The sequence below is a fragment of the Homo sapiens genome, chromosome 21 (assembly GCF_000001405.40).
Source record: "Homo sapiens chromosome 21, GRCh38.p14 Primary Assembly".
Classification (NCBI taxonomy): Eukaryota; Metazoa; Chordata; class Mammalia; order Primates; family Hominidae; genus Homo; species Homo sapiens.
The window spans coordinates 37,527,453-37,554,437 of record NC_000021.9 but is presented as its reverse complement, the minus strand read 5'-3'; the positions used below and the strand labels follow the sequence as shown (position 1 = coordinate 37,554,437).

Genomic DNA, 26,985 nt, shown 5'->3' with positions numbered 1-26,985 from the left:
GTGAAACCCCGTCTCTACTAAAAATGCAAAAAATTAGCCAGGCGTGGTGGCGGGCGCCTGTAATCCCAGCTACTCAGGAGGCTGAGGCAGGAGAAAGGCGTGAACCCGGGAGGCGGAGCTTGCAGTGAGCCAAGATCGCGCCACTGCACTCCAGCCTGGGCAACACAGCAAGACTCCGTCTCAAAAAAAAAAAAAAGTTAGCTGGGCACGGTGGTGCATACCTGTGGTCCCAGCTATTTGGCAGAGGTGGAAGGATCGCTTGAGGCCAGGAGTTCGGGGCTGCAGTGAGCTATGATCTGCTACTGTACTTCAGCCTAGGAGACAGCAAGATCCTGTCTCTAAAATTTAAAAAAGAAAAAAGTTTTTTTTTTAAAGTGGCCAGACACAGTGGTGGCTCATGCCTGTAATTCCAGCACTTTGGGAGGCCAAGGTGGGAAGATCTCTTCAGCTCAGAAGTTCAAGAGCAGCCTGGGCAACACAGTGAGACCCTCTTCTCCATAAAAAATCAAAAAATTAGCTGTGAGTGATGGCACATACCTATAGTCCCAGTCTTTGGGGAGGCTAAAGAGGGAGGATCCCTTGAGCCCAGGAGTTGGAGGCTTCAGTGAGCTATGATCACGCCACTGTACTCCAGCCTGGGAGTGCAGACACTGTCTCCAAAATGAAAAATGGAAAGCACTGCAACCAAAAAGTTTGTCTGACTCTCCTCCTTACACTCCTTCAGCGGCCCCGCTTTCAACGCACACCTTCCTGAATTCTTATCTACATGAATAGTTCTTAACCTGTAGGAAAAGACCACAGGCAAAATGACTGCATTTTAATAACAAAATAAAGAGAGTCCTGATAGGACAAAGCATTGGCTTGGATTTGTGAATTAATTTATGTGTAACATCGGACACCTCCATGACAGCAAATCACTTTTCCACGTGGAACCGATCACATTTACTGAAAAGAATCCGGTCCCATGGAATGAGACCGCCCTGGAAAATCTGGGCCGTGTGGTTGCCGTAGTAATTGATGCCTTCTAGAACAAATCCGTGCTTGGCTAATTACAGCCTTCTATTTTTAAACTCATCTCCATTCTTCTCCCCCAACCCAACATTTCTCACACAACTTTAGCAGTGAAATACTATTACTGTTATCTGTACAGGCTGTGCTGATCTCAAAATAACTCCTTTCCAGTCGGCCTTGGCCTGCCATGGGAGGAGTGAGGCGCTGGTTCCCCATGCACACGCAAGGCCAAATAAAGACCTCTGAGCCAACCCCAGGCTCTTTACACCACGGGAATCAAAACACCACCACGGGCTTCCAGGGCTCCCTCCCACTTGTGAGCTTCTGGGGTTGAGGCTGAGACCTGCTCAGTGGTTTGCAGCCCAGGCCCAGGCCGCCTCGAGGGGGGTCTGGGTGACACAGAGATGAAGGCAGACGGCACGGAGGCCTCCCTGGACCATGTCAGGAGATCCTTCAGGCCATGTCTCTAAGACTGAACACCTGCAGCCCACAAAAAGGCTTCCATCAGCCTTGCCCTCTCCAAAACTGACTCAAAGCCTGGGGTCCTGCGAACTGCACCTCAAGGCCTGTACTTCCCGCAGCAGGGGTGTGGGGGCTGCAGAGATAGATGAAGCCCACCCAGATGAGGACAAGCCTGCTGCAGCCAGGATGTCAGCCACTGCCGCTGACCAGAGCTGTCGTGACAAAGTACTGCAGACTTGGTGGCCTGCACAAACGTGCCGGAGGCTGGAAGTTCAAGATTAAGGTCTGCCAGCTGCCACTGATGGCACTGGGAAGCATCTCCCCCCGGCCTGTCCCCGGCTCTGCTGCATGCTGGCAGTCTTTGTCCCCCTTGACTTATAGAAGCATCAGCCCTGCTCTGCCTTCATCCTCTTATGGTGTTTTCCCTGTGTGTGTCCCTGGGTCCAAATTTCCCATTTTTATAAGGACACTAGTTATATGGGACCTCATCTTAACTAACTACATCTGCAACCACGCTATTTCCAAGTAAGGTCACATTCTGTGTCACAGGGGGTTAGTTAGGACTTCAACATATGAATTTCTGGGGGACACAGTGCTACCCATTACAGTTGCCTGTGGCAGAGACTCAAAGCCAAGTCAGGTGTGGACAGGCGGAGTGACCAAGGGGAGGCCACAGTTGGCTGTCCTGCAGGGAAGCTGGCCGCAGCAGGGCATCCTCTGGGAAGGGTTACAGTGAGTCATTGCCTTTTACTAGGTGCTCCTGAGTTGGAAGCACTGGCAAAACTTCAGAAGCTGGCCATCGATGACCAAGTCCTGGCCATTTGGGGCCAACAGCTGCAGAGCTCGCGGACTGGCTACCCAGCAGGTCACTGCAGAGGTTGTGGTCAGAGTTTATTTTTATGCAGCCTGTCTCACCATTGTCCATTTGTATGTTCAGCCTCTCAGTGCAAATGCCCACTTGGTGGGCCTCAGGGTGCTGCTGGGGCTGGCAGCCTGAAGGCACCAGGCCTTGTGAGGGTAGGGGGTGGTCCCAGGCAGGCGGCCTGCAAGGCCCAGCACTGGGAAGGCGCGGCACCGAGAGCCAAAGCGGCAGCGCAAGCCCCTCAGGCCTTCGCCCAGAGCAGAGCCTGCACACCGCCCAGGGGGCCCTCCTGCAATCTTTTTATTTGCACAAGGCTTCACGTGGGATGTGTAGCAGGAAACTGCAGAAACACTGCCGGCTGCTCCCGAACAGTCCTCGGGCTTCTTGGTCTTAAGAGTCCTGGAAAGACTCCAGCGAGCTTTTGTGAATGTGGGGCACAGCAATCACTCTTTACCATGTTACAACAGAGACATTTTTAAAATATAAAAGCCATTACAGGTTCATATGAATAACATTTTTATGAAATGTAAATATATTTTCTGAAAGAAAAAAATGTGCAAGAATGGCATTGTTTTAAATGTTTGCAAACTCGTGTCTGGCTGAACAGGAGCCAGCTGGATCCCAGGTCTGCGTCTGCCTTCAATCTGTTTCCCCCTCGCATGTCATGGGGCCACTGGAAATCTCCACGTTACATGCAAGAGAGTGAAAACAGCTAATACCGCGTTAGGATTACTATGAAAAATCGTTTTGACCTTGCATGACTCCCGGAAGAGTCTCAGGGACCCCCCCACAGGGACCCCCGGACCACAGCAGGGACACATGCTTGCGTATTTATGCAGGGGTCAGATCCAAGCAGCAGACAGCAGGGGACTGGCCTGCGGGGACGGACAAGGGTGGCCCATCCCATCTCCGGAGGGTGTGCGTGCTGTGGGAGGGGGGCGATGAGGAGCCATCCTGCCTCAAGCCTGAGCAAAGAGATAAGTTTTAGACTTTGTCCAAGCCAAGGACTTTCAACGTCTTAACCTCCTGCCTTAAAAACCACGTCGTTAGTTCCATTTTTCCTCCACCAGTTCCAAAATGATATGCAGCTGGGAATATGGCTATCCGATTCCTGCTTTAACTAATGGTTTTGGGGGAGCATTAGTGCACCCCCAGAACACACAGAGCATGGGGTCTGCTTTAGATGCCCCCACCCCCCCAACACACAGGGCAGTGAGCAGAAGGCAGCCACAGGCTCATCGTTTGGAGCTTCTTTCTTCCCCAGCTTTCTCCCCCAGCTTTCTCCCCTCTCAGTCCTCCCACCTTCTCTGCTTTTTCTCCAGCTGCTCTGGGCTTCTTCTCCCCTTTCCCTCCCTCCTCTGACTCTGGCCTACCTGAATTATGGTTTGTCATAAAACTTAAAATGAAAGAAGTAGCTTACTACCTACTAGAATAGATGAAGACTACTAATGCCCTTCTTTAAAAGGGTTAATTTTATGTTATGTGAATTTCATCTCATTTTTAAAAAAACAAATGCCTTTACTTTAGATCTACTTTAATTTTCAAATTTCTTAATCCTATATGAAAGGGTTTATTTTAGCCATTGTTTCAGCAAGGAAGAGCCATCTGGAACTTCTGATTCCATAAAATGTGATGTATGACGGAAGTGTCGATTTTTAAAGAGACGTTGGTAAATTATGTAACATTTCCAGAGGTTATGTTTCAAATTATTTTAAAGTATAAAGAACAACAAACTAAGTGCAGACATGACCGTAGAGAATGAGAGATGCCAAACTCAGTTCTCCAGCTGCGGGCTTGTGTCTGCAGAAGCTGCTTGATGGAACTGTCGCTATAAAAAAATACATGTCCGGCCGGGTGGGGTGGCTCACACTTATAATCCCAGCATTTTGGGAGGCCAAGGCAGGCGGATCACTTGAGGTCAGGGGTTTGAGACCAGCCTGGCCAACATGGCAAAACCCCATCTCTACCAAAAATACAAAAATTAGCTGGGAGTGGTGGCACACGTCTCTAATCCCAGATACTCAGGAGGCTGGGGCAGGAGAATCGCTTGAACCCGGGAGGCAGACATTGCAGTGAGCTGAGATGGTGCCATCGCACTCCAGCCTGGGCAATGAAACAAGGCACTGTTCACAATAGCAAAGACTTGGAACCAATCCAAATGCCTATCAATGATAGACTGGATAAAGAAAATGTGGCACAAATAAACCATGGAATACTATGCAGCCATAAAAAAGGATGAGTTCATGTCCTTTGCAGGGACATGGATGAAGCTGGAAACCATCATTCTCAGCAAACTAACACAAGAACAAAAAACCAAACACCACATGTTCTAACTCATGAGTGGGAGTTGAACAATGAGAACACATGGACACAGGAAGGGAAGCATCACACACTGGGGCCTGTTAGGGGGGCGGGGGGCTAGGGGAGGGAGAGCATTAGGAGAAATCCCTAATGTAGATGACGGGTTGATGGGTGCAGCAAACTACCATGGCACGTGTATACCTATGTAACAAACCTGCACATTCTGCACATGTATCCCAGAACTTAAAGTATAATAAAACACAACAAAACAAAACAAAAAATAGATGTCCAAGCCAAGCAGTGCATCTGTCTCTATCTCAAAAGGCACAAAGAAAATGAGATAAAGAATTGGTGGGGAAAGTAAACACATGCAAAGATGAAATGAAATCAGAAGTATCGTTGCAGTTGTTAGCTAGTCAGACATGAGCGGGGCAGGAGAGGGTCCCCCCCACCAGGAATGTCAGGTGACCACTAGGTGATGGTCAGGCGGCTGGTAACTGTCTCTCTCAAATAACCATTGGTCACAGCCAGGGCCGGGAAAGGCAGTCTTTCAGTAGATAGAAAAAAAACTGAAACTGGTGATCAGGAGTTGGTGAGTGGGCTCAGGCATGTGCACTAAGAGGCAAAATAGCAGAGTTTAACTGGTAGGTGACCTTCTAGGAACACCCAACTAGTAAGGGAAGAATGCCTCAAGTGAGCATGCGTGCAACTCCAGTAAACACACTGCACACGCGGCCCCTCCCAAGTGCTGGCAGGCCACTGTGCATGCGGACAGCCCACCCCAAGGGAAGAATCGGGGAGAAGAGATACAAGACCCCAGAAGCATGCCAGCATATAAAACCCCCAGTCAATGGTTAAACAGGGCAGATGATCTCACAAGTTGCCCGCTTGGCCCTCTTCCAAGTGTACTTTCCTTCCTTTCATTCCACTCTAAACTTAATAAACTTTCACTCCTGCTCTAAAACTTGCCTTGGTCTCTCCCTCTGTCTTATGACCCTCAGTAGAACTCTGTCTTCTGAGGAAGCCAGAATTGAGGTTGCTGCAGACCCTGGTACCAGCTGCTGCTGGTAACTGTATTGGTCAATTCTTGCTGCAATAATGCTGCATGACAGACAGTCCCAACACCCAGTATCTCATGACAGTTTTATCACCGTGTTGCAGGTCAACTGTGCTGGGCTGATCTAGGCAGCATTTTGGGTTCTGGTCTCTTCTCTAAGTTCTTTTCAGGATAAAAGGCAGACACACAAGAGGCAAGGAAAACCACACTAGTACATCTAAGGCCTCTGCTTGCGTGCCATTTGCTACCATTGCATGGGCCTAAGCCAGCCCACCTGTTCAGGCCCAACATCAGTGGGCATATTCTCTCCACAGTAAGAGGGTGGATTGTTTTTGAATAATCAGCAGGAAGAAGAAAGCCACCGAGATGGAAATTGTGGAGCTGTATCTTGCAGAATCCTTGAAAAGCATGTTGCTTTGATTCAAAGTCTGATGTGGGGAAAAGAGACACCACAGGGGAAGATTTTCATACGATTCTCCTAAAATAATAGTATCTTGCAAAAATGAAATCTATTTCTGACTCCTCATTTTGAAACACATAAATTATATCAAACAGAAAGAATGTATGCTTTGTAAGAAAAACTCTAAATCAAGCCATACCACCTAAGGACAGAGTGAGCAGAGACCATCTCTACTCATTCATTTGCTTGTCCTTCACACTCAGAGTTTTATTAGGTGACACCCACAGGCCAGATACTGTGCTGGGGCTTGGGGAATTCAAGGATGAAAAAGACAGCCTGCCAAAAGCACTCATAGTCCATTTGGGGAGGAATAAGAAAAAAATAAATGCTCATAAATAACTAGAACTTGAGATACAAAGTGATAAATATCATTTTTTAACATATAGAAAGAATGCTCTGGGGGTTTCAGAGGGAAGTATTACTTCCAGATGCTGAGTAATGATAAGATTGTGGTTGTCAGATTGCAAGGAATTCACACAACTTTCAAACCAGAGAGGACAATTTGTCCAAACTCTTTCTTTTACAGAGGAGGAAACAGGTCCAGAGAGATCAGGGGAAGTTCCTAAAATCATTTTCCCATGGCAATTGTACCTTGATATGGTCCCATGGCAGCCCACGGCAAAAGGGCCAGGAATCAAACTGCATCTTCTACTTTTACGTTCTAGGCCTCTTTTCACACTGCTTTCTCTAGTGCCATTTCTACAATCTCATAAACCGCCTTCCTGGCAACATTTCAATTCTATGTGATGAAAAATGACTCGGCTAAAGAGGAAGGCATTTACAAGGTGTGGGGAGGGGGCGTGTCAAGTGAGAATGTGGTTAAATAAATACCAAGTCCCTCCGAAAACAACAAACGGAATATCAGTCAGAAATATATGACCTGTGTGTCTTTTCTTCGCTTTTTTCTGCCGTGTATATTAATCCAGACTCCCTGTTCTTTGACCAGAATACCCAGAAACGTGCCGATCTCTTTTGGCGCCAGGAGTGGAGACGTTTTCAATGATCCGGCGTGTCTCTTGTTCTAAGGGCCCTTTAAGGATGTGAGTTATGTGGCCTTTCCTCCTGCCGTGATGACTATAAATTATGCTCATAGCTTGGCAAAGAACTCTTAACTGCCTGGCCCATTAATCAGGCTAAGCTGTAAATTTCTTGCCTCATTGCCCTGTGGAGAATCCTTCTGGAAGATTTTCACGCTGGAGTAGTTCAGGAAGCTCCCGCAAGATCAATGGCCTTGTCAGGTCCTCATCCCCCGTGCACTCGGGCAGCACGGCAGGGGCAGCCCCGGGATGCATGTCCCGGCCATGTAGACACGGCCTTACCGCCTGTGAAGCTCACAGACACCTGTTTTGAGCCTCAGCCCTCCCACTTTGTGGCTATGTGATCGAGGACAAGCCACTTGACCAATCTGGGGTCCTATCTATAAAACGGGAATGGTCCGACTTACCTCCCTGGACTGTTCTGATGGTTAATGAGATCGTGTGAACTAGAAGGTGATATTAAAAGATAGTAGGTAATAACAATAGTGCATCCTGGAACCAAAGCACGTGCCTGCCCCAAAGTCCCCCGTTCTTTGCTGTAACTCCACCGGAGGAGACCCACTCCCTTCCTGTCCATTCCCACAACGCCCCTCCTTTGTAATCCAAAGTGCAGCCGGACCCCGGAACCTCAGCCTCATAATGTCTGAAGACACGGTGAGCCTGAAATTGGCTGTGAACCAAACCTATTTCATTCTCCTTCTTTCTCTCTGAAATGCAAACCAGGCAGGACACGCCACACAGGACCATGAAAACTGCAAACCCCCGCTGGAGAGGCAGCGTCCTAGTGTCCCGGGGCGCCTCCTGCAGGAGCTCCCAGGCGCGGTTTTGCCTTTTCCACACTTTTTCTCCCAGATCTTCGGCAACAGCCCATGGTTTCTCCCTTAGACGCACCTCACAGTGAGTCTTCAGTGGCTGCCGTATCTTTGCTCAGTTCGATTGTGAAAATAATAATACTGTGATCTCAATCCAGGTGTATAGAGTGTGAGTATGAATTTAGACTCCGAATCTGAGTTCTGGCCACAGCACCTGATGGGTACCAACCCCGAAAGAGCTGCCCACCTCCAAGGAAAGCTCGGATGCCCCATCAGCGATGTGGAATAGGCACATCCTTCAACCTGCAAGTAGGTGGCAAGAAGCAGAGCCCGCATAACCGCTCATCATATCCACGACAGAGCACACAGTCTCCCAGCTTTCCCAGCCCAGCCATATGCGGGAATGCTGCTGTCTCACTCTCTGAACACTGGTCGGTCTAGTCACCGACCACAAGCCCTGGCTGTCTCTCTGAGGCGGTCCTCACTCAGGACCCCATCCACCTTGTGGACCTACATCGCCATCCTGGAGAAGGAGCATCCACAACAAAAAGGTAGCACCCACCTGGCCACTAAGGTTCCCCGTACTCCTCCCCTACCTCAAAGGAAAGTGTATGATGGGGGCTGGGCACGGTGGCTCATGTCTGCAATCCCACCACTTTGGGAGGCCGAGGCAGGAGGATCACTTGAGCCCAGGAGTTCGAGACCAGCCTGGGCAACACAACGAGACCCTATCTCTACTAAAATTACAAAAATTAGCCAGGTGTGGTGGGGCACGCCTATAGTCCCAGTTACTCGGGAGGCAGAGGTGGGAGGATCACTTGTGCCCAGGAGGTCAAGAATGCAGTGAACCATGATCAAGCCACTGCACTTCAGCCTGAGTGACAGAGCAAAACCCTGTGTGGCATCCACATTCACACACACACACAGTGTATCACATGTATAGTAAAAACAAGTTTAGCTAATTTTGCATTTGTTGTGTTAAATCTATAATAAATATAAGTAATTTGAAAAGACTACTTTAGTACATATTTATTACTTTATTTATTTATTTAGAGACACGATCTCACTCTGTCAACCAGGCTGGAGTACAGTGGTGCAATCTCAGCTCACTGCAACCTCCGCCTCCCGTGTTCAATTCTCCCACCTCAGCGTCCCGAGTAGCTGAGATTACAGGCAAGTGCCGCAATGCCCAGCTAATTTTTTGTATTTTTAGTAGAGATGGGGTTTCACCATGTTGGACAGGCTGGTCTTGAACTCGTGACCTCAGGTGATCCACCCGCCTCAGCCTCCCAAAGTGCCGGGATTACAGGTGTGAGCCACCGTACCCAGCCATATTTATTACTTTATATGTTTGCATAAATATCTAGAAGTAGAGTTGATGGTTGTAGAGTAGGTGAATGTTGAACTTGGGAAGAAACTGCCAAGCATTTTCCCATGGCAATTGTACCTTGATATGCAATTCATATTTCCCATGATGATGCAAGAGCATTGTGTGATTCTACATCCTTAACGCCTGTTGTTGTCAGGGTTTAATTTTAGCCGTTCTCCTGGAGTATAATAGGATCTATGCTACTAAAATGCATATTAAAACCATAAAAGGTATAATACTACGGTTTTAATTTATTGTATGTATCACTGATGCAAAATAATGTTGAACACTTTCTTAAGAATTTACTGGCCCATTAATATTGCTTTTGCTGTGAAATGTATGTTCGAGTATCTTGCCTCCTTTTTAATTGGATTGTCTTTTTCTTACTAAGTTGTAAAGGTTCTTCTAGAAGTAATTTCTTCTGTGTTTTCTTCTTTTATTTAGAGAGAGGGTCTTGCTCTGCTGCTGAGGCTGTGCAGTGGTGCAATCATAGCTCACTGCAGCCTCGAACTCCTGGGCTCAAGCAATTCTCCTGCTTCAACTTCCCAAGTAGCTGGGACTGTAGGCCCAGGTGTGCGCCACTACACCTGGCTAAGATAAATCTTTTTGTAAGCCTGTTTTCATTTTGTTTGGGTAAACACTGTGCCCAGCCTTCTGTGTTCTTTTCTATAAATTTTATAGTTTTAGCACTTATATTTAGGCCAAGGATCCATTTCAAGTTAGCTTTCGTACATGATATGAGATAATGGTTGAAGTTTATTTTTTCCTATGGATTTCCAGTTGTTTCAGCACCATTTGTTGAAAAGAATATCCTTTCCCCCATTGAATTACCTTGGTACCTTTGTTGAAAATCAATTGACCATCTAAAAGCAGATTTATTTCTGGAGTCACTCTTCCATGCCAATGACCTAGTTGTCTGTCTCTCTACCATTACATACAGTCTCAATTGCTGTATATTGGTAGTAAATCTTGAAATCAGGTAGAATAATTTCTACAACTTTGTTCTTTTTCAAAATTGTTTTGGATATTCCATAACATTTCTATAAAAATTTGCATTTCTATAAAAATTTTAGAATCACCTTGTCAAATCCAACAGAAAAGCCTCCTGGAATTTTGATTGGGATTGTGTTGAATCCATAGATCACTTTGGGGAGAAAAGATACCTTAACAATTGTGAATCTTTCAACCCATAAACATGCTATATCTTTCCATTAGTTTAGGTCTTCCATAATTTTTCTCATGAAAATGTTTTAGTTTTCAATGTATAGGTAGATATTGTCTTACATTTTTGCACATATTTTCTTAAATTTTTAAGTATTTCAAAATGTTATGAAATTTAATGCATTAAACCATCTAAAATAGGGATATGCTGGCCTCATAAAATTAATTGGGAAGTACTTCCTTCTTGTTCATTTTCCAAACAAATCTGCATAATAGGGTTACTATTTATTTCTTAAGTATTTGACAGAATTGACCAGTGAGCAATGTGAGCCTTGTGTTTTCTTGTGGGAAGGTTTTTAATCATAAATTCAATTTCTCAACAGATACAAGGCAATTCAGATTTTCTATTCCTTCTGTGGCCATTGTATAGGCTGGATGCTGTGGCTCACACCTGTAATCCCAGTACTCTGGGAGACTGAGGTGGGAGGGTGGCTTGAGGCCAAGAGTTTGAGCCCATTTTTTTATTTTATTAATTTCTGCTCATATTATTATTATCTTCCTTCTACTTATTTTGGCTTTAATTTGCTCTGCATTTTAAGCTTTATGGACCTTTGATGTTAAACTTTTCTTCTTATTTCACATATGTATTTAAAGCTATGTTTCCCTCTATGCACTGTTATAGCTGTATTTCACAAATTTTAAAATCCTTTTCAAAGCATTTGATATCCTTTAGGTGTAGTGTTTTGCAAATGATAAACAGGTTAAACTGGTCATAGGATTATTCAAACCTTTGTTGTCTTTACTAATTTTCTGAGTACTAACTGTATCAATTATGGAAAGAAGATTTCTAAAATCTCCAACTATAACTGTGGATGTGGAAATTTCTCCCTATAGTTCTGTTGGGTTTTGCTTCATGTTTTCTGAAGCTATTATTAGGTACATATACATTTAAGATTGTTATATCTCCTTGTCGTATTGCTCTTTATCATTATAAAATGCTCCTTCATTGTTTCTGTTAATATTCCTTTATATCTGGTAATCTGATATAACTATAGGAAAGCTAATCTGGCTTTCCTATAGTTAGTATTTGCATGATATTATATCTTTTTCCTTCATTTAATTCATTATTCTGTCTTTATACCAAAAGCATGTCTCTTGTAAACAGCATACATTTAATCTTGCTCTTCTATCTAGTCTGATAGTCTCTACCTTTTAAATGGAGTTTTAATTTCAGTTACATTTAGTGTAGTTAGTAAAATGGTTGGTTTTAAATCTCTTATCATGCTACTTGTTTTCCAGTATATGAAGTTTCATAAGAAGCAAAATTAATCTGTGGCAAAAATATCAGAATAGTGGTTGCCTCCGAGTGTTGCAGGTAGGGACTCAGTAGGAGGATGAGGAATCTTTCTAGGGTAATGACAATTTCTGTATCTTGACAGGTGTTGGTTACAAAGGTCAATACACGTTAAATGTACACTTAATATTTGTGCATTTCACTCTCTGTATATTTTACCTAAAAAACAAAAACCATAAATAAATGTGAACTCTAATTAATGATATGCACACTGAAGTGTTTATAGGTGAACTCTACTGATAAACTTACTTGAAATAAAGAAGAATAAGAAGGTTGAGGGATGGATAAAGAGATGAGAGATGAATAGAATGTGATAAAGGAAATATAGCAAAATGCTAATTATATGATCAAGATGGTAAGTATATTAGTGTTCACTATACAGGTCTTTCCATTTTTTTGTATGTTTGAAATTTTTTATAATAAATATTGGGAAAAAGAGGGTGAGATCAATATTACCTATAGAACTGACCCCCAAACGTCACATTTGAATATGAACAATCCTTTAGATCCAACTACCAATCTTCTAAAAAACCAGAAGAAAAAGAAACATGTTAAACACCACCACAAAGATGCAATCAGCAAAACCCAGACTCTAGGAGATTCTACAGAATAAGGAATAAATTAAAAATAATGTATTCAAAACAAATTGCAGGAAAAAGAAAAGAGATAGAAAGGGGTCTATGAAATTAACGAGATTTAGAGCTATATTAACCAACTCCAACATATGAAACTTATTTGGACATTTATAAGACAATGAGAAATTTAAACACTGATCTAATATGTGATCATATTAAACAATTATATCTATCAAACTCACAGTGAGATACCGTCTCACGCTGGTCAGGATGGTGATTATTGATAAGTCAGGAAACAAGAGATGCTGGCAAGGTTGAAGAGAAATAGGAAGGCTTTTACACTGTTGGTGGAAATATATATTAGTTCAACCATTGTGGAAGATGGTGTGATGATTCCTCAAAGATCTAGAACCAGAAGTACCATCTGACCCAGCAATCCCATTATTGCTTATATTTGACCCAGCAATCCCATTATTGCTTATTATTGGATATATACCCAAAGGAATATAAATCATTCAATTATAAAGATACATGCATGCATATGTTCATTGCAGCACTATTCACAATAGCAAAGACATGGAATCAACCCAAAATGTCCATCAGTGATAGACTAGATAAAGAAAATGTGGTACATTTACACCATGGAATACTATGCAGCCATAAAAAGGGACAAGATCATGTCATTTGCATGGCACATGGATGGAGCTGGAAGCCATTATCCTCAGCAAACTATCGCAGGAACAGAAAACCAAACACCACATGTTCTCACTTATAAGTGGGAAGTGAACAGTGAGAATACACGGAGACTGGGAGGGGAACAACATACACTGGGGCCTGTTGGGGTTGGGTGAGAGGAGGAAGAGCATTAGGACAAATAGCTAATGCATGCTGAGCTTAATACCTAGGTGATGGGTTGATAGGTGCAGCGAACCACCATGGCACACGTTTACCTATGTAACAAACTGCACATCCTGCACATGTACCTCAGAGCTTAAAATAAAAATAAAATATAAAACAATTATATCTTAAGGTATGATAATGGTATTATGATTATATTTCTTTAAAGCCCTTGCTTATGTTTTAGAGACACATAGTGAAATACTTACAGATAAAATAACATGTTGAGATTTGGTTCAACAGAATACAGGGTGGGGAGTGGTAGAGATAGAGATGAATTATTAAGTTGACAATTGTTGAAGCTAAGTCATGAATACAGATAAATTCATTACATTACTTTTGTATAATAAAATATTTCAAAGAGAGAACTCAAGAAAAACAGAATGAAGAGGTTCAACCTCTCCAGTAATACAAGTTGAGTATCCCTCATCCAAAATGCTTGGAACCAGAAGTGTCTCAGATTTCCGATTTTTTCTGATTTTTGGAATATTAGCATATGCATAATGAGATATCCTGTGGATGAGACCCACACAAGCCTAAACAGAAAATTCATCTATGTTTCATATACACCTATTACACATAGCCTGAAGGTAATCTTATAAATATTTTAAATAATTATGTGCATGAAAAAGTTTTGACTGCACTTTGACCTGTTACATGAGATCAGGTGTGAGTTTTTCCTCTTGTGGCATCATATTGGCATTCAAAAAGTTTTGGATTTGGGAGCATTTCATATTTCAGGTTTTTGGATTAGGAATGTTCAATTCGTATCAGAAATGCATTCATTAAGGTGATATACTTTCAGATTGCCAACTTGGTAAGTTTATTCTAACCTCAATGCTCAATTTTCTTGGTAATATAAAGTTATATTTTTATCTCAACACACATACACACATACTGTCTGTTCCAAATAGATAGAACATTTAAATGCAAACAAGGTTTTAAAAGTCGAGAAAAATATTGGAGAGGGTTTATATTATCCTGGAGCACATAGGTTCTTCTTAGTCTGGCAGGAAAGTAAAAAACAATAAAGGAAACCATATTCTTTATAATTGCATAAAAACGTATAATGTTCATATGTCAAAGACATCATAGACAAATGAAAAGACAAAGGGCAAACTAGGAAACATATCTGCAATATACAAAACAGCCAAAGGGTGATTAATATGTAAAAAGCGCCTGAAAAATCAGTAAGAAGTGGCTTTGGCTGCATGAATAATGTTATCTTTAAGTGTTTGATGAGTAAATAAGTTCACAAGTAGAGTGTTCATACCTTTTTATATGTATTACATATTTTATAATTTTAAGATAATGAAAATGAAAGAAATCAATGAAAAAGAGGAACAACCTAATAGGAAAAATGACAAACATGTAAACTGAGTCTCCTATCACAAGCCAGTGTATGTACATCCAAGCAAAAATGACAAGAGGGAGGGAAATGTACGTGCTGAAATAGAAATGGACATTCTGGTATACTGTCTAGAGAAAGGTACAACCCCGTCAGTAGGACTCTTTGAAATAGCATTATAGTGTAAACATGCATGCACTTTTTAGTAATTCTACCTATAGGAATTTATTCTACAAAAATAACTAGATAGGTGGAACCAACCCAAATGCCCATCAATCAATGAGTGGATAAAGAAACTGTGGCATATATATACGATGGAATACTACTCAGCCATAAAAAGGAATGGATTAATGACATTCGCAGCAACCTGGATGAGATTGGAGACTATTAGTCTAAGTGAAGTAACTCAGAAATGGAAAACGAAACATTGTATGTTCTCACTCAAAAGTGGGATCTAAGCTATGAGGATGCAAAGGCATTAAGAATGACACAATAGACTTTGGGGACTCATGGGAAAGGATGGGAAGAGCATGAGGGAGTCTACATATGAAATGCCATCAGACAAAGCAAGGGTTCTTAACCCATGTATGCCTGAGGCAATCAGACCTTGGTGATGACCTTCAGCAGTAGGATATAAATAACTCCCACATGCTTAGCATTCCAATAATGGAACACTAGGCATAAATGGGTTTTAATACTGAGAATTCGTATTTTTATGGCTACTCTTGCCCTTTTCTCTCACCACACATATCTTCTTCCCTCGATTCTCAAAAGCACACTTTTTTTTCACAATACAATGATTCTAATATTGGAACCAGTCTTACAATCAATGGGTCCATTTATGCCATGGTGTTTCTTTTAATTCTTCCTATAAAGCTGTTATAATAAATTCATGGTCCGTCTTACCATTGATAATTATTTTAGACTCAGGGTAACATGACACTAGGCATTAAATAATTGTTTACTGTACTAAGCAGAATTATTACCCTCAAAGCATAAACAGCTGCTACTTTTGAGTAAGGAACAAATAAAAAATTCAGTTCTGATGAGCTCAACTCCCCACAGGCATCTCCTTCTAACAGCTTTCAGGGCTGGGCACAGTGGCTCACGCCTGTAATCCCAGCACTTTGGGAGGCCAAGGCGGGTGGATCACTTGAGGTCAGGAGTTCGAGACCACCCTGGCCAACATGGTGAAACCCCATCTCTACTAAAAAAAAAAAAACGACATTAGCCGAGTGTGGTGGCACACATCTGTAATCCCAGCTACTGGGGCAGCTGAGGCAGGGAAATTGCTTAAACCTGGGAGGCGGAGGTTGCAGTGAGCCAAGATCGTGCCACTGCACTCCAGCCTGGACGAAAGAGTGAGACTCCATCTCAAAAATAAAAATAAAAATAAAACAGATTTCAGTTTTGTTGCCAGTGACCAAACCAGGGAGCAGCATTTTAAGAACATTCCCTCAAAAGTGAGCCTAATTTGTGCTGAACCAAAGGCAAAGAGTTGATCGGTTCTAGAATGTTCTGGGTTCCCCCACAACCTTGAATGCAAGATGGAAGGCAGGGGTGAGCACCAGGCTTTGTAGGAAAGTCTGGGTTACAAAGCCTGAGAGCAAGAACTTTATCAACATTTCTACATTCAAAAAACATTAAAGACAACACCAGGCCAGGCGCAGTAGCTCACACCAGTAATCCCAGTACTTTAGGAGGCTGAGGCAGGGAGATGACTTGAGCCCAGGAGTTTGAGACCAGCCTGGGCAACATACTGAGACCCCATCTCTACCAAATAATAATAATAATAATAATAATAATAATAATAATAATAATAATAACTGGGTGTGGTGGTGCATGCCTGTGGTCACAGCTAGTTGGGAGGCTGAGGTGGGAGATGCTTGAGCCCAGGAGGCTGAGGCTGCAGTGAGCCATGATTGCATCACTGCACTCCAGCCTGAGCAACAGAGCAAGACTCCATCTCTAAAAAAAAAATTAAAATAAAATAAAGACAACACCAACGACATTTTGTACAGCAGGACCTGAAGACCTGGGTGTGTTTTCTCCATGTCCCTTGCCACCTGCCTCAGAACCCACCGCAGCCCCACTGCCCACCCATGTCAGCACAGGGCGGCTGCCCAGGGTTCCCTGGAGTGAGCAGGAGGCTGGGGCCCTGCTCTGCATGGAGCTGAGTGAGAATCTGCTGAACTTAAAAGCAGCAGCCTCTTGCTAGTACCACGCCATGGTCCAAGGCCTGCTGTGATTTTGAGAACAGCACTTGTGCAAAACAGTAACCCCTAGAATAGACAGGGCTTTTTTTTTTCCCTTTTATTTTTTGTTTTGTACTTTAAGCTCTGGGACACATGTGCAGAACATGTAGGTTTCGAACTCAAGATTAAGAAACTAAGTCAAAACCACACAACTACGTGGAAACTGAACAACCTACTCCTGAATGACTACTGGGTAAATAACTGTGAAATATGGCAAGGTTTCTCTTCAAACAGCCTGCTCAACTTTTTATTCTTTAATTCCAAGTACTACCCCCCACCTTTCTTCCCCTTTTTTTTCTAACTTTACTACATGCTCAGGCATGCCACAGCACCAGTGGCGTTATCAACAACAGCTCACATTCCTTTCCTTATTTAGGAAAAGACTGGCTCTCTAGTTCCCCGCAGATGACCCCTTCCTCCTCTCCCCTCTCTCCCATTATGCATCCACCTTATCTAAGAAAGTTTAAACGTTTAGCCAGTCGGGTCTAATTTAAATTGTGCGGTCTGACCCCAGCCAATGGGGGAAGGACACAGGGGCAGGAGTCGCATTAGGAATAAAAACTTCTACTCTCCTGTGTTCTAAGTGCTCTCGTGGCAACCAGCCATATGGGAGACACCCTTCTGCATAGAAGTAAATTTGCTTTGCTGAGAAATCCTTTGTCTAAATGCTCATTTTTCCTTAGGACTCTGAGACTTATTTCTAACAATAATTAAATTAAGGCAGAGATAGATAAGTTATTTGAAGCCAATGAGAACAAAGACACAACGTATCAGAATCTCTAGGACACAGCTAAAGCAGTGTTTAGAGGGAAATTTATAGCACTAAATGCCCACAGGAGAAAGCAGGAAAGATCTAAAATCAACACCCTAACATCACAATTAAAAGAACTAGAGAAGCAAGAGCAAACAAATTCAAAAGCTAGCAGAAGACAAGAAATAACTAAGATTAGAGCAGAACTGAAGGAGATAGACAGGGCTTTTAACCAAGCTTATTAATGTGTCACTGAATAACAAATACTTGTGTTGCTTACTGTCTACAACAAAAATCTCCCTGAGCAAGCCTAGGCAACATAGCGAGACCCCATCTCTACAAAACATAGGAAAAAATTAGCTAGGTGTGGTGGCACACTCCTGCAGTCCCAGCTACTCAGGAGGTTGAGGTGGGAGGATCACTTGAGCCTGGGAGGTGGAGGCTGCAGTGAGCCGAGATCGTGCCACTGAACTCCAGTCTGGGTGACAGAGCAAGATCCTGCCTCAGAAACAAATAAACAAAAATTCTACTTGAGTAAACACGAAAATAATCATGGGTTGACCTGCCTGAGCCCTGACATTAATTAAATTGGGTCAGATGAACTTCAGATGAGAGACTTCCAGGTAATCATTATGATAATAATTATGAATAATAAGAATGGTTTGGGCTCTTTTCATGATAAGGAAAAGACTCCCTGGGTTACTTCAACCCTGAGGTGACAGTGGAGGTGAGAGCCACGTGAATAGTCTCCAGAGTATTGAGAGGAGCCAGGCATAGGCTTTCTAGCTCGAGTCTGGATCAAGATGGGCCACGACTGTCACAGATGCTGTGCCAAGGGGTCCCGGATGCAGGAAGCCATCTGCCCTCTGCGCAAACCTCTCCTGCCCCCACTGCCACCTTCTGCCCAAGTCCTCCTCTCCTCCGTGGCTCTTTCTTACGGCTCCCAGATGCCACTTGTAGCTCTTCTACTTCAGGGCACCAAGTCAAGCCAGACTATAAAAAGGGGAGGTAAAGTGAAACTTTGTAGAAAACCTGAAATTAAAAGCATAAGAAGGGCAAGTCGAGTAAAGACTGTGTAGCCTTTCACATCCCATGGCAGCAACACTCATTAATGCCTCTCCTATAACAGTATTCTAAGGAGCGACGTCACCAAGATGGAAATGACACCAATGTCTAACAAAGAGTGCACTCTATTCTGCCTCCAAACCCTCCAGCCAAAGTCATGGTCCTTAAACAGAAATCCTTGACATTGCCAATGGAATGAAGCGCCCAGGGTGACACTCAAGGACCTCATGATCTGGGCCCTGATCCCCTCTCTGCCCTCATCTCTCCCCACCTTCTACTGGATTTACTCTTCCACCAATATGATCTACTTTGTGCTAGTATTTGTTTCTTGTGGCTGCTGTAACAAATTACCACAAAGTCAGTGACTTAACACAAAATATTTTTTGCTGTCATTGTTAAGTCTGTTATTTTTTGTTTTTATTGGTACATAGCAGATATTAACACAAACTTATTATCTGGAGGTCAGAAGTCCAAAATGGGACTCACTCAGCTCCAATCAAGCTGTCGGCAGGACGGCATTTCTTTCTGGAGGCTGAAGGGGAGAATCCCTGTGCTTACCTTTTCCAGCTTCTAGAGGCCCCTCCTCCACCTTCAAAGCCAGCAGCATGGGACCGAGTCCTTCTCGTGCTACAGCCTCTCTGGGTCTCCCTCTCCTGCCTTCCTCCTCTGCTCATACAGCCCCTTGTGATGACACTGGCTCCATCCAGATAACCTAGGCTCATCCCCTCCATCTCAAGGCGAGCTAATCAGCAACCATAATTCCCCTTCGCTATGTAACCTAACAGTCACAGGCTCTTGAGAGTAGGACATGGACAGCTTTGGCCACTATTCTGCCTCCATCAAAGCATGCCACTCACACCTTCCTACCTTTGCTGATGCAGTTCTTTGAACAGCTTCCCTGAACTCCTAATCCCCATGCACTGGTCCTCAAACAAATGCAGGCATCATGCCAAACCCTTCTCAAGTGCTACCTCCTCTGAAGCTGCCCACCCTGTTCCTCTTCGGATCCTGCCAATCCTTGAATCATGCCCCTACCACATTAAAAGAAGTATCCATGCATGGTGGCCCCTGTCAGACTGCCTCTGATAGAACTGCTCCTTGTTTCACAGTCCCCTTCCTAGGCAGTGGGCTGTGTCTCAACCGGTCTGTCCTTCCTCCAATCCAGTTGTCTCTTCCTGCACCTACACCGTACTGATCAGACTGCAGTGGCTTCAAAGAATATTCCAACATCTGGTGAAGCAAGTCGCCCCACCCCTAATTGCTCTTCTTCCTTGTGCTTTTCTCGCTATTCTCAGGCATTGATTTTCCTATATTATTTTAACCAATCGAAAATGCTACGAGTAGATCAGTGGTTGCCTAGGAATGGGACAGAGAGAAAGATGGACCAGAAATGGGAACAGGGAGTTTTTGGGGAGATGAAATTGACATTCTGATAGTGGTGTGATGACATAAGGGTATACATACATCAAAACTGATCAAGTTTTCATGAACACAAAGGGGAACAACAGACACTGGGACCTACCCGAGAGTGGAGGAGGGAGAGGAGCAGAAAACATAACTATTGGGCATTGGGCTTAATACCTGGGTGCCAAAATAATCTGTACATCAAACGCCCATGACATGAGTTTACCTATATAACAAACCTGCACACGTACCCCTGAACCTACAAATATAAGTTTTAAAAAACGGGTCAAATTTTACATTTAAAATAGGTCCTTTAATATCCTTGAGCTGTTTTTGAGAGTCTACACTAAGAGTGCCACTAGTCCCCCTAACAATTTGGCAAGTGAGTAGGTAGTTAGAATGAAACCAAGAATCTTTATTTTCCCTCTCAAAAAAAATGAAACGAACACTTCACCCATATTATTAATTCAGTTCACTTGGTATCAGTGCCTCTCAGTCCTGCGGGCTGGTCGCTTCTCCCTGGATTGCTTCCTGGGCATTCCAGCAGTGAGTCCCCCCATGAGCGGCCTCCATGGCACAGCCCCAGCCCTGGGTGGCTTCCAGCCAGTGCCAGCAGGAGAAACACCCACGGATGGATTTACCTGGGCACATACCCTAGTGACTGCACAGCACAGCACTGACCATGGGACACCTGCCAATCACCCTCCCACGAGCAGTGCTGGAGAGCCTGCAGCCAGACAGGTTCCCCCCCAGGGACTTCTGCAGCACTGCCCGAGGCAGCCAGCAGGGAGCTCTGAGACGTGGCACCTCCCCGGGGGCCAATTCCCACAGCAGAGGGTGGGTTTCAGTCACGTCTTGCTGGGGAAGCACCTCAGCAAGCTCCTCTGTCGTCCAGTGAGTCACGATCACACCCTCTCCCATGAATGAGTCATGACGGCAGCCCTCTCCACGAGGTCTGGGTCTTAGCAGAGGGGTGCGGGTAGGAGTGGCCCTTCGTTGGGTGCTCAGGATCAGTTCCAGGTGTAGTGACTGCTGGGTGCATTGGTGATTCCTACATTGTTTAGCCAGTTCTCTTATCAGCTAATTCCCCCAACTCCAGTTAATTATATATACTTGTATACGTGTGTGTGTGTATATATATGTGTGTGTGTGAATAAAAGCAAGGGTAAGCAGGAAAACCCCGAAGAGAAACGTGATGAAATGAGGTGCACCTGCCTGCTAAGTATTGAAACGGCCCAGAAGCCTCTGTAACTGAAGCCAGGTAGGAGTGGCATGTGCAGAGGTTTACAAACCAACACAGCACATTAGAAGGTTCAGAAGAAGACCCAAGTAATCACGACAGTTATCATATGATAAGTGATCAATGTGAATCTTTAACTAAGATGGGGGAAAGATGAACTTTTTAATAAGTGGTGTTGGAACAACCAGCCAGCCATTTGGGAAAATATAAAATTGAATCCATGCCTCACAATATATAATAATAGGATAAATTCCAAATGGATCAAAGATTTACGTGAAAAATATGAAACCATTAAAAACATTAGACTGGGGAAGACTTTTCTTTTCTTTTTTGAGATGGAGTTTCACTCTTGTTGCCAAGGCTGGAGTGCAGTGGTGCAATCTCGGCTTACTACAACCTCCACCTCCCGGGTTCAAGCGATTCTCCCACCTCAGCCTCCCAAGTAGCTGGGATTACAGGTGCCCGCCACCAAGCCTGGCTAATTTTTGTATTTTTAGTAGAGACAGGGTTTCACCATGTTGGCCAGGCTGGTCTCGAACTCCTGACCTCAGGTGATCCAGCCACCTTGGCCTCCTAAAGTGCTGGGGAACATTTTTCTTTTACCCAAAATACAGAGAGCAAACTGTTCTAGATCTAAGGAGAGGTAAGAAACGAACTAAACACAACACGTGGACCCTAATTGAATCCTGGTTTGAACAAACTGGCAGTAAAATATTTTGGGGACAATGGGAACACTGAATACGGATCAAGTGTTTGACACCAGTAAGGAATGATTTTAATTCTCTTTAAGGTGTGATAATGGTATTAATGGATAAGCAAGACAATGTCATTTTTTAGAGATGCAGACTGAAGTAATTTGGAAATACCACGTTTCAGCAAAAAACAATTGTTAAATCTAAGCGAAGTTGGTATATTATTACAGGAACTCAAAAAGTCTTCAAATACTCTTAGTTTGGGAAGCATGTTGCCTTTTCCTTCTCATCACAGTCAGAAACTATTTTTTAAATTACAGTCTAAATTTTGTCAGAGAAAACGTCATTGTAGAAAGGGGCAAAAATGGCCCCCAAATCAAACTCTACCCCGTGGGCATGTGTCCAGCTCTGTCTTGGCAGTGCCCATGCAGTACTGGGCGGGGCCCAGGATTGTCGCTGCCAGGGCTGGAGGCTGTCCAGGAGTGGGGTTGTCCTGAGCCCTGAAGGGTGGGTGTTCCCAGGCTTCCTGCGCGCCCCCTTCCTCCCCTCCTCTGCCCTGCGGGACTTGTGGTAACATAGGGGCCACTCCACTTTCTGGCCTCCGCAGCCACAAGACCCAGGCAGGGAGGGAAGGAGGGCAGGACAGGGTGGCTGGAGAGGGGGGCCCAGCTGGAGGGAGGCAGGCAGGGAAGGACACAGCTTCAAGAGCGCTGGGGGCACAGCAAGAACAGGGTAGGCGCAGAGCCAGAGACGCTGTGTTCTGTCACTGCAATCCTGTTTTGGTTCCCAGGCTGGTGTGGCCTGAGGGAACTTGGTCCTGCGGGAACAAATCCTTCCTCGGGCCTCCAAGTCAGTCCCAGTGGGCAGCGGGGAAGGACGCAGTCTTGCCTCTTCTGAAGCAGGTTAAGGGGCCCCTTAACCTGGCCCCTGCAGCCGCAGGCCTTTCTAGAAAGATTGAGCAGGTCCACGTCCTAGAGCTCCTCGAAACGTCTAGACAATTTGCTTTGATAAGATTTGCTGTCACCTCCCAACCAGAGGTTTATCTATGTGGTCTTGAAGAGGGATTAATTTCCTTTTTAAACCCCCTAAGCCGCCGTTTGACAGGTGGCTCCTGGCGGTAGGCTGGGCCCCTGTCCAGGGCTGCTTGGCAGGAGCGTTACCGGTATGATCTGAGACCAAAAGGACACCCTTCTGTCAATTAAGAGCTCCCTGGGCTCCAGGGTCTAAGCTCAGTGGGCAGGCAACCCCCTAGATTCCTGAGCTGCAGGACAAACCACACTGGGGCTAAACTCCGCACTAACAGGAAAGTTGTCAGACCCCTCCTAACTCTGATTTACAACACAGACCATTACAACTCTGCTGGGACCGAGGGCGGCCCTACCGGCTCTCCTCATAACACTGCAGACCCGGGGCCAGCTTGAGCGCCGACAGGGTGTGCACCAACTTTGTGCCCTATAGCTCACCTTTTGAAGTCAAAAGCCAAATCCACCTCATTTTAATGCTAGAACCTCACCCCCAAGTGGACATGGGATGCATGTTACACGTTTGCCTATTGCCCATGCGCTCAATCTCCCTTGGAAATATGTATAGCTTTTCCCCCAGACCTGCTGAATCTGTGACTCCATTGTGTGATACGGGCCCCATGAGGCATAAAACCCAACCTGTCCTTCCCCTCTCCCTGGATATCGCCTTCGGTACATGCCACAAACTGATACTGCCGGTAAGCCTCTGCTTGCTACTATTTAGCCATCCTGGTTTCATTTATTGATTTATTTAGAGACAGAGTCTTGCTCTGTTACCCAGGCTGGAGTGCAGTAGTGCCATCACAGCTCACTGCAGCCTCGAACTCCTGGGCTCAAGCGATCCTCCCACCTCAGCCTCCTGAGTAGCTGGGACTACAGGCATGTGCCAACAGGTCCAGCTAATAATTTTATGTGTGTTTTTTGTTGTTTGTTTTTGTTTTTAACAGAGACAAGGTCTTACTCTGTTGCCCAGGCTGGTCTTGAACTCCTGGCCTCCAGCAATCCTTCCATCTTGGCCTCCAGAATCTCTGGGACTCCAGGCATGAGCCACTGCATCCGGCCCATCCTGTGACCTTTTGGATGACATCTGGGACTAGATGGGGCATGCTACTCAAGCCCTAACTCTTTATAATCATAGATTCTTCACAATTCAGGCTTACATCACATATAACTATTTGTTAAATATTCAAAGAAGCAAAGAAACTTGATCATTTTTTAAAAAATTGGCTTTAGGTTCAAAAGCCAAAATTCCCTGATGCAACTCATATTTTTCTATTTGCCTTCACCCTCTCTCCTGGTGGCCAAATGTCCACTCTTGCCCCCTTCAGGCCAGCCCAAGCCCACCCACCTGAACCAACCCTGGGCCCTTGCCCTTGGCCATGGGCACAGCTCCACCTCAGTCAGCTCCCTCAACCCTGACCAATCTGGGGTGCTGGAGCTGCACACACGGCCACCCATGACAGTCCCCAGCCCCGAGCTTCCTCTCTGCCCAAACAAAACTAAAAGTATCTGCCCCAAAGGGTGTCGGTGAATGGGGGAGCTGCGCCTCCCGACTGTGTTTCTCTAAAACCAGCAGAGTTGGGGATGGCAGCCTGTGGTTTCCCACTCCAAGCCGAGAAAGCTCTTTCAGGTACAAGAGTGAAATGGTGTTTCTTAGTCCCTGGCTCCCTCAGCAACTTCCTGCTTGAGGGAGTCCCTTCCAGCTCTATTAGCACAGTTTTAAAAAGTAACTTCAAAAAGCTTTTGGAAAGAGATCTAACTGGTCCAGCCAACTGTCTTCCTTCCTAAGAAGCAAGTGCCTCCATGCCTCCCTCCCTCCCTCCCTCCCTCCCTCCATCCATCCATCCATCCAATGCGCACCATGCACTAGAGGTAGGAGAAGGAGGAGAAACAGCTCCTGCCTTCAGGAGGAAAAGGGGAGAGACATTGTTGACTCTGACACCAGCTATGGGGTGTGGAGACTAAGGACACAAACTAAGTGCAGGGCAACACAGATGGGACCACGGGCCATGAATGGATGTGATGCTGGTGAGGACCAGGAAAGCATCACAGAAGCTCAAGCCAGAAGCAAGTGCCAGAGGAGGCACATTTGAGAGGCCCATAAAGCTGGAGTGCAGGAGGCTGAGGGTAGTTAGGGAATGACTTGTCCAGACTCTTAGGTTATATGGCAATGACAGGGATAGGACTTTCAATAGAAGAGGGAAATGTCTGCATTGCTCATCAGGTAACGGATGGAGCCGGGGCACAGGGGCATGGGGAGACAGCAGGGGAGGGGGTGGGCATGGCTTGGATGCGGTTTGGGGTAATGGTCAAGTAGCCTGGCTTTAGTCTGCAAACCTGGGTTTGAACCCTCACTCTCAAATCAGCAGCTCTGTGGCCTTGGGTGTATTATGGAATCTCAGGTAACAGTCCTTATGTCCCAGGCTATTAGAACCACGAACATGAAGCCCTACTATGCGGCAGGCACTGTTCTGATAGTGTCAAGTGTATTAACTCATTTGATCCCATAGTAACCTATAGGGAAGGTGACATTCTCATCCCCATTTTACAGATGAGGAAACAGAGACCCAGATAGTTTAAGTACCTTGCCCAAAGTCCCAGAGCGAGGAAGAAGTGGACTGTTCAGCACAGAGACTCACACATAGTGAGCACTTCACCAGCAGCACGCATTATAACAATGAGTCCAGCCAAAGATAAGGCCAGGCCAGGACACGGCCAGTGGGAGTGGGAAGGAGACTGGGGAAGAATGCACACATGGCCCAGCCCCTGAGAAATGTGTCTGTGGGTTTCTACAAGCCCAAAAAGGGGGTTCCTCCATATTCCATAATGGTAATGGCGACCCTGGATTCCAAGAGTAAGACCAGAAACGTGGAAATTGAGGACTTTTTGTTGTTCTGGAATCATTAATCCTCCTCTTCCCTCTGATCCCAGAAACACCCTTTACGGGCAAGACCACTGGTCAATTTGACTGTTCGGGGGACCCCTACCGGCCACTGTTACAGGGAAAGGCAGGATGGGGCCGAATGAGTGCTAAGATATACAACCTGTTGGGCCCGGATGGACCCACCACATGGGACTCCTTGGAATCCCAGTATTAGCCTTTGTGTGCCAATCATCACATCTGGGCCTTCCAAACTTGTATCCAACCCTAACAATGCTGCAAGGCAAATATTATTATCCCCATTTGATAGCTGAGGAAAATAAAGGATCAGAGAGGCTAAGCAATTTGCCTAATGACACACAACTAGTATACGACAGATCTGTGATTTAAAATGGGGTCTGGGCCAGGCATGATGGCTCACACCTGTAATCACAGCACTTTGAGAGGCCAAGTTGGGAGGAGTGTTTCAGCCCAGGAGTTCCAAATCAGCCTGGCCAACATAGCAAGACTCCGTCTCTACAAAAACAATTAAAAAAAAAATTAGCCAGGCTTGGTGGTGGCATGCACCTGTAGTCCAAGCTACTCAGGATGCTGAGGCAGGAGGACTGCTTGCGCCCAGGAGTTCAGGGATATAGTGAGCTATGAACACTCCACTGTACTCCAGTCAGGGCGACAGGGTGAGATCCTGTCTCCTATTAAAAAAACAAAACAAAACAAAAACACAAAAAAAGTGGCGGGGAGGCTCTGCCTGACTCCAAAGCCTATTTGCTAAGCATGTTTTTTTTTGGTACTAGGAATAAAGAAATGCCTCTCAATGTGGGGCAGTAATTGAGCATTCCTCACCAGTGGGCTTGGCAGAGGAGTTCAAAGCAGTCTCTGGATTCTGCCTGCCTGGGGTCAAAAGCTGGCCTCAACACTGCAGCCAATGGATGCTACAAGTGACCGTTCTCTTGGGGCCTCAATTTTCTC

The 26,985-nt window shown here is 45.0% G+C and overlaps 1 long non-coding RNA gene across 1 annotated transcript in view, besides 4 other annotated features; it reads right to left on the bottom strand.

The window, feature by feature from the left end:
* Positions 1 to 26,985, bottom strand: part of KCNJ6-AS1 (KCNJ6 antisense RNA 1) — a 222,067-nt gene that overhangs the window by 186,265 nt on the left and 8,817 nt on the right. The gene's annotated exons all lie outside the window — the stretch shown is intronic.
* Positions 6,891 to 7,391: an enhancer, noted in NCBI's record as "H3K4me1 hESC enhancer chr21:38919349-38919849 (GRCh37/hg19 assembly coordinates)". NCBI's record gives its function as "activates a minimal SCP1, AML or CMV promoter by ChIP-STARR-seq in primed H9 embryonic stem cells {active_cell/tissue: H9 hESC(primed)}" and the evidence as "EXISTENCE:reporter gene assay evidence [ECO:0000049][PMID:30033119]".
* Positions 7,392 to 7,892: an enhancer, noted in NCBI's record as "H3K4me1 hESC enhancer chr21:38918848-38919348 (GRCh37/hg19 assembly coordinates)". NCBI's record gives its function as "activates a minimal SCP1, AML or CMV promoter by ChIP-STARR-seq in primed H9 embryonic stem cells {active_cell/tissue: H9 hESC(primed)}" and the evidence as "EXISTENCE:reporter gene assay evidence [ECO:0000049][PMID:30033119]".
* Positions 20,990 to 21,039: an enhancer, noted in NCBI's record as "active region_18453". NCBI's record gives its function as "activates an Ori minimal core promoter by ATAC-STARR-seq in GM12878 lymphoblastoid cells {active_cell/tissue: GM12878}" and the evidence as "EXISTENCE:reporter gene assay evidence [ECO:0000049][PMID:35858748]".
* Positions 21,150 to 21,379: an enhancer, noted in NCBI's record as "active region_18452". NCBI's record gives its function as "activates an Ori minimal core promoter by ATAC-STARR-seq in GM12878 lymphoblastoid cells {active_cell/tissue: GM12878}" and the evidence as "EXISTENCE:reporter gene assay evidence [ECO:0000049][PMID:35858748]".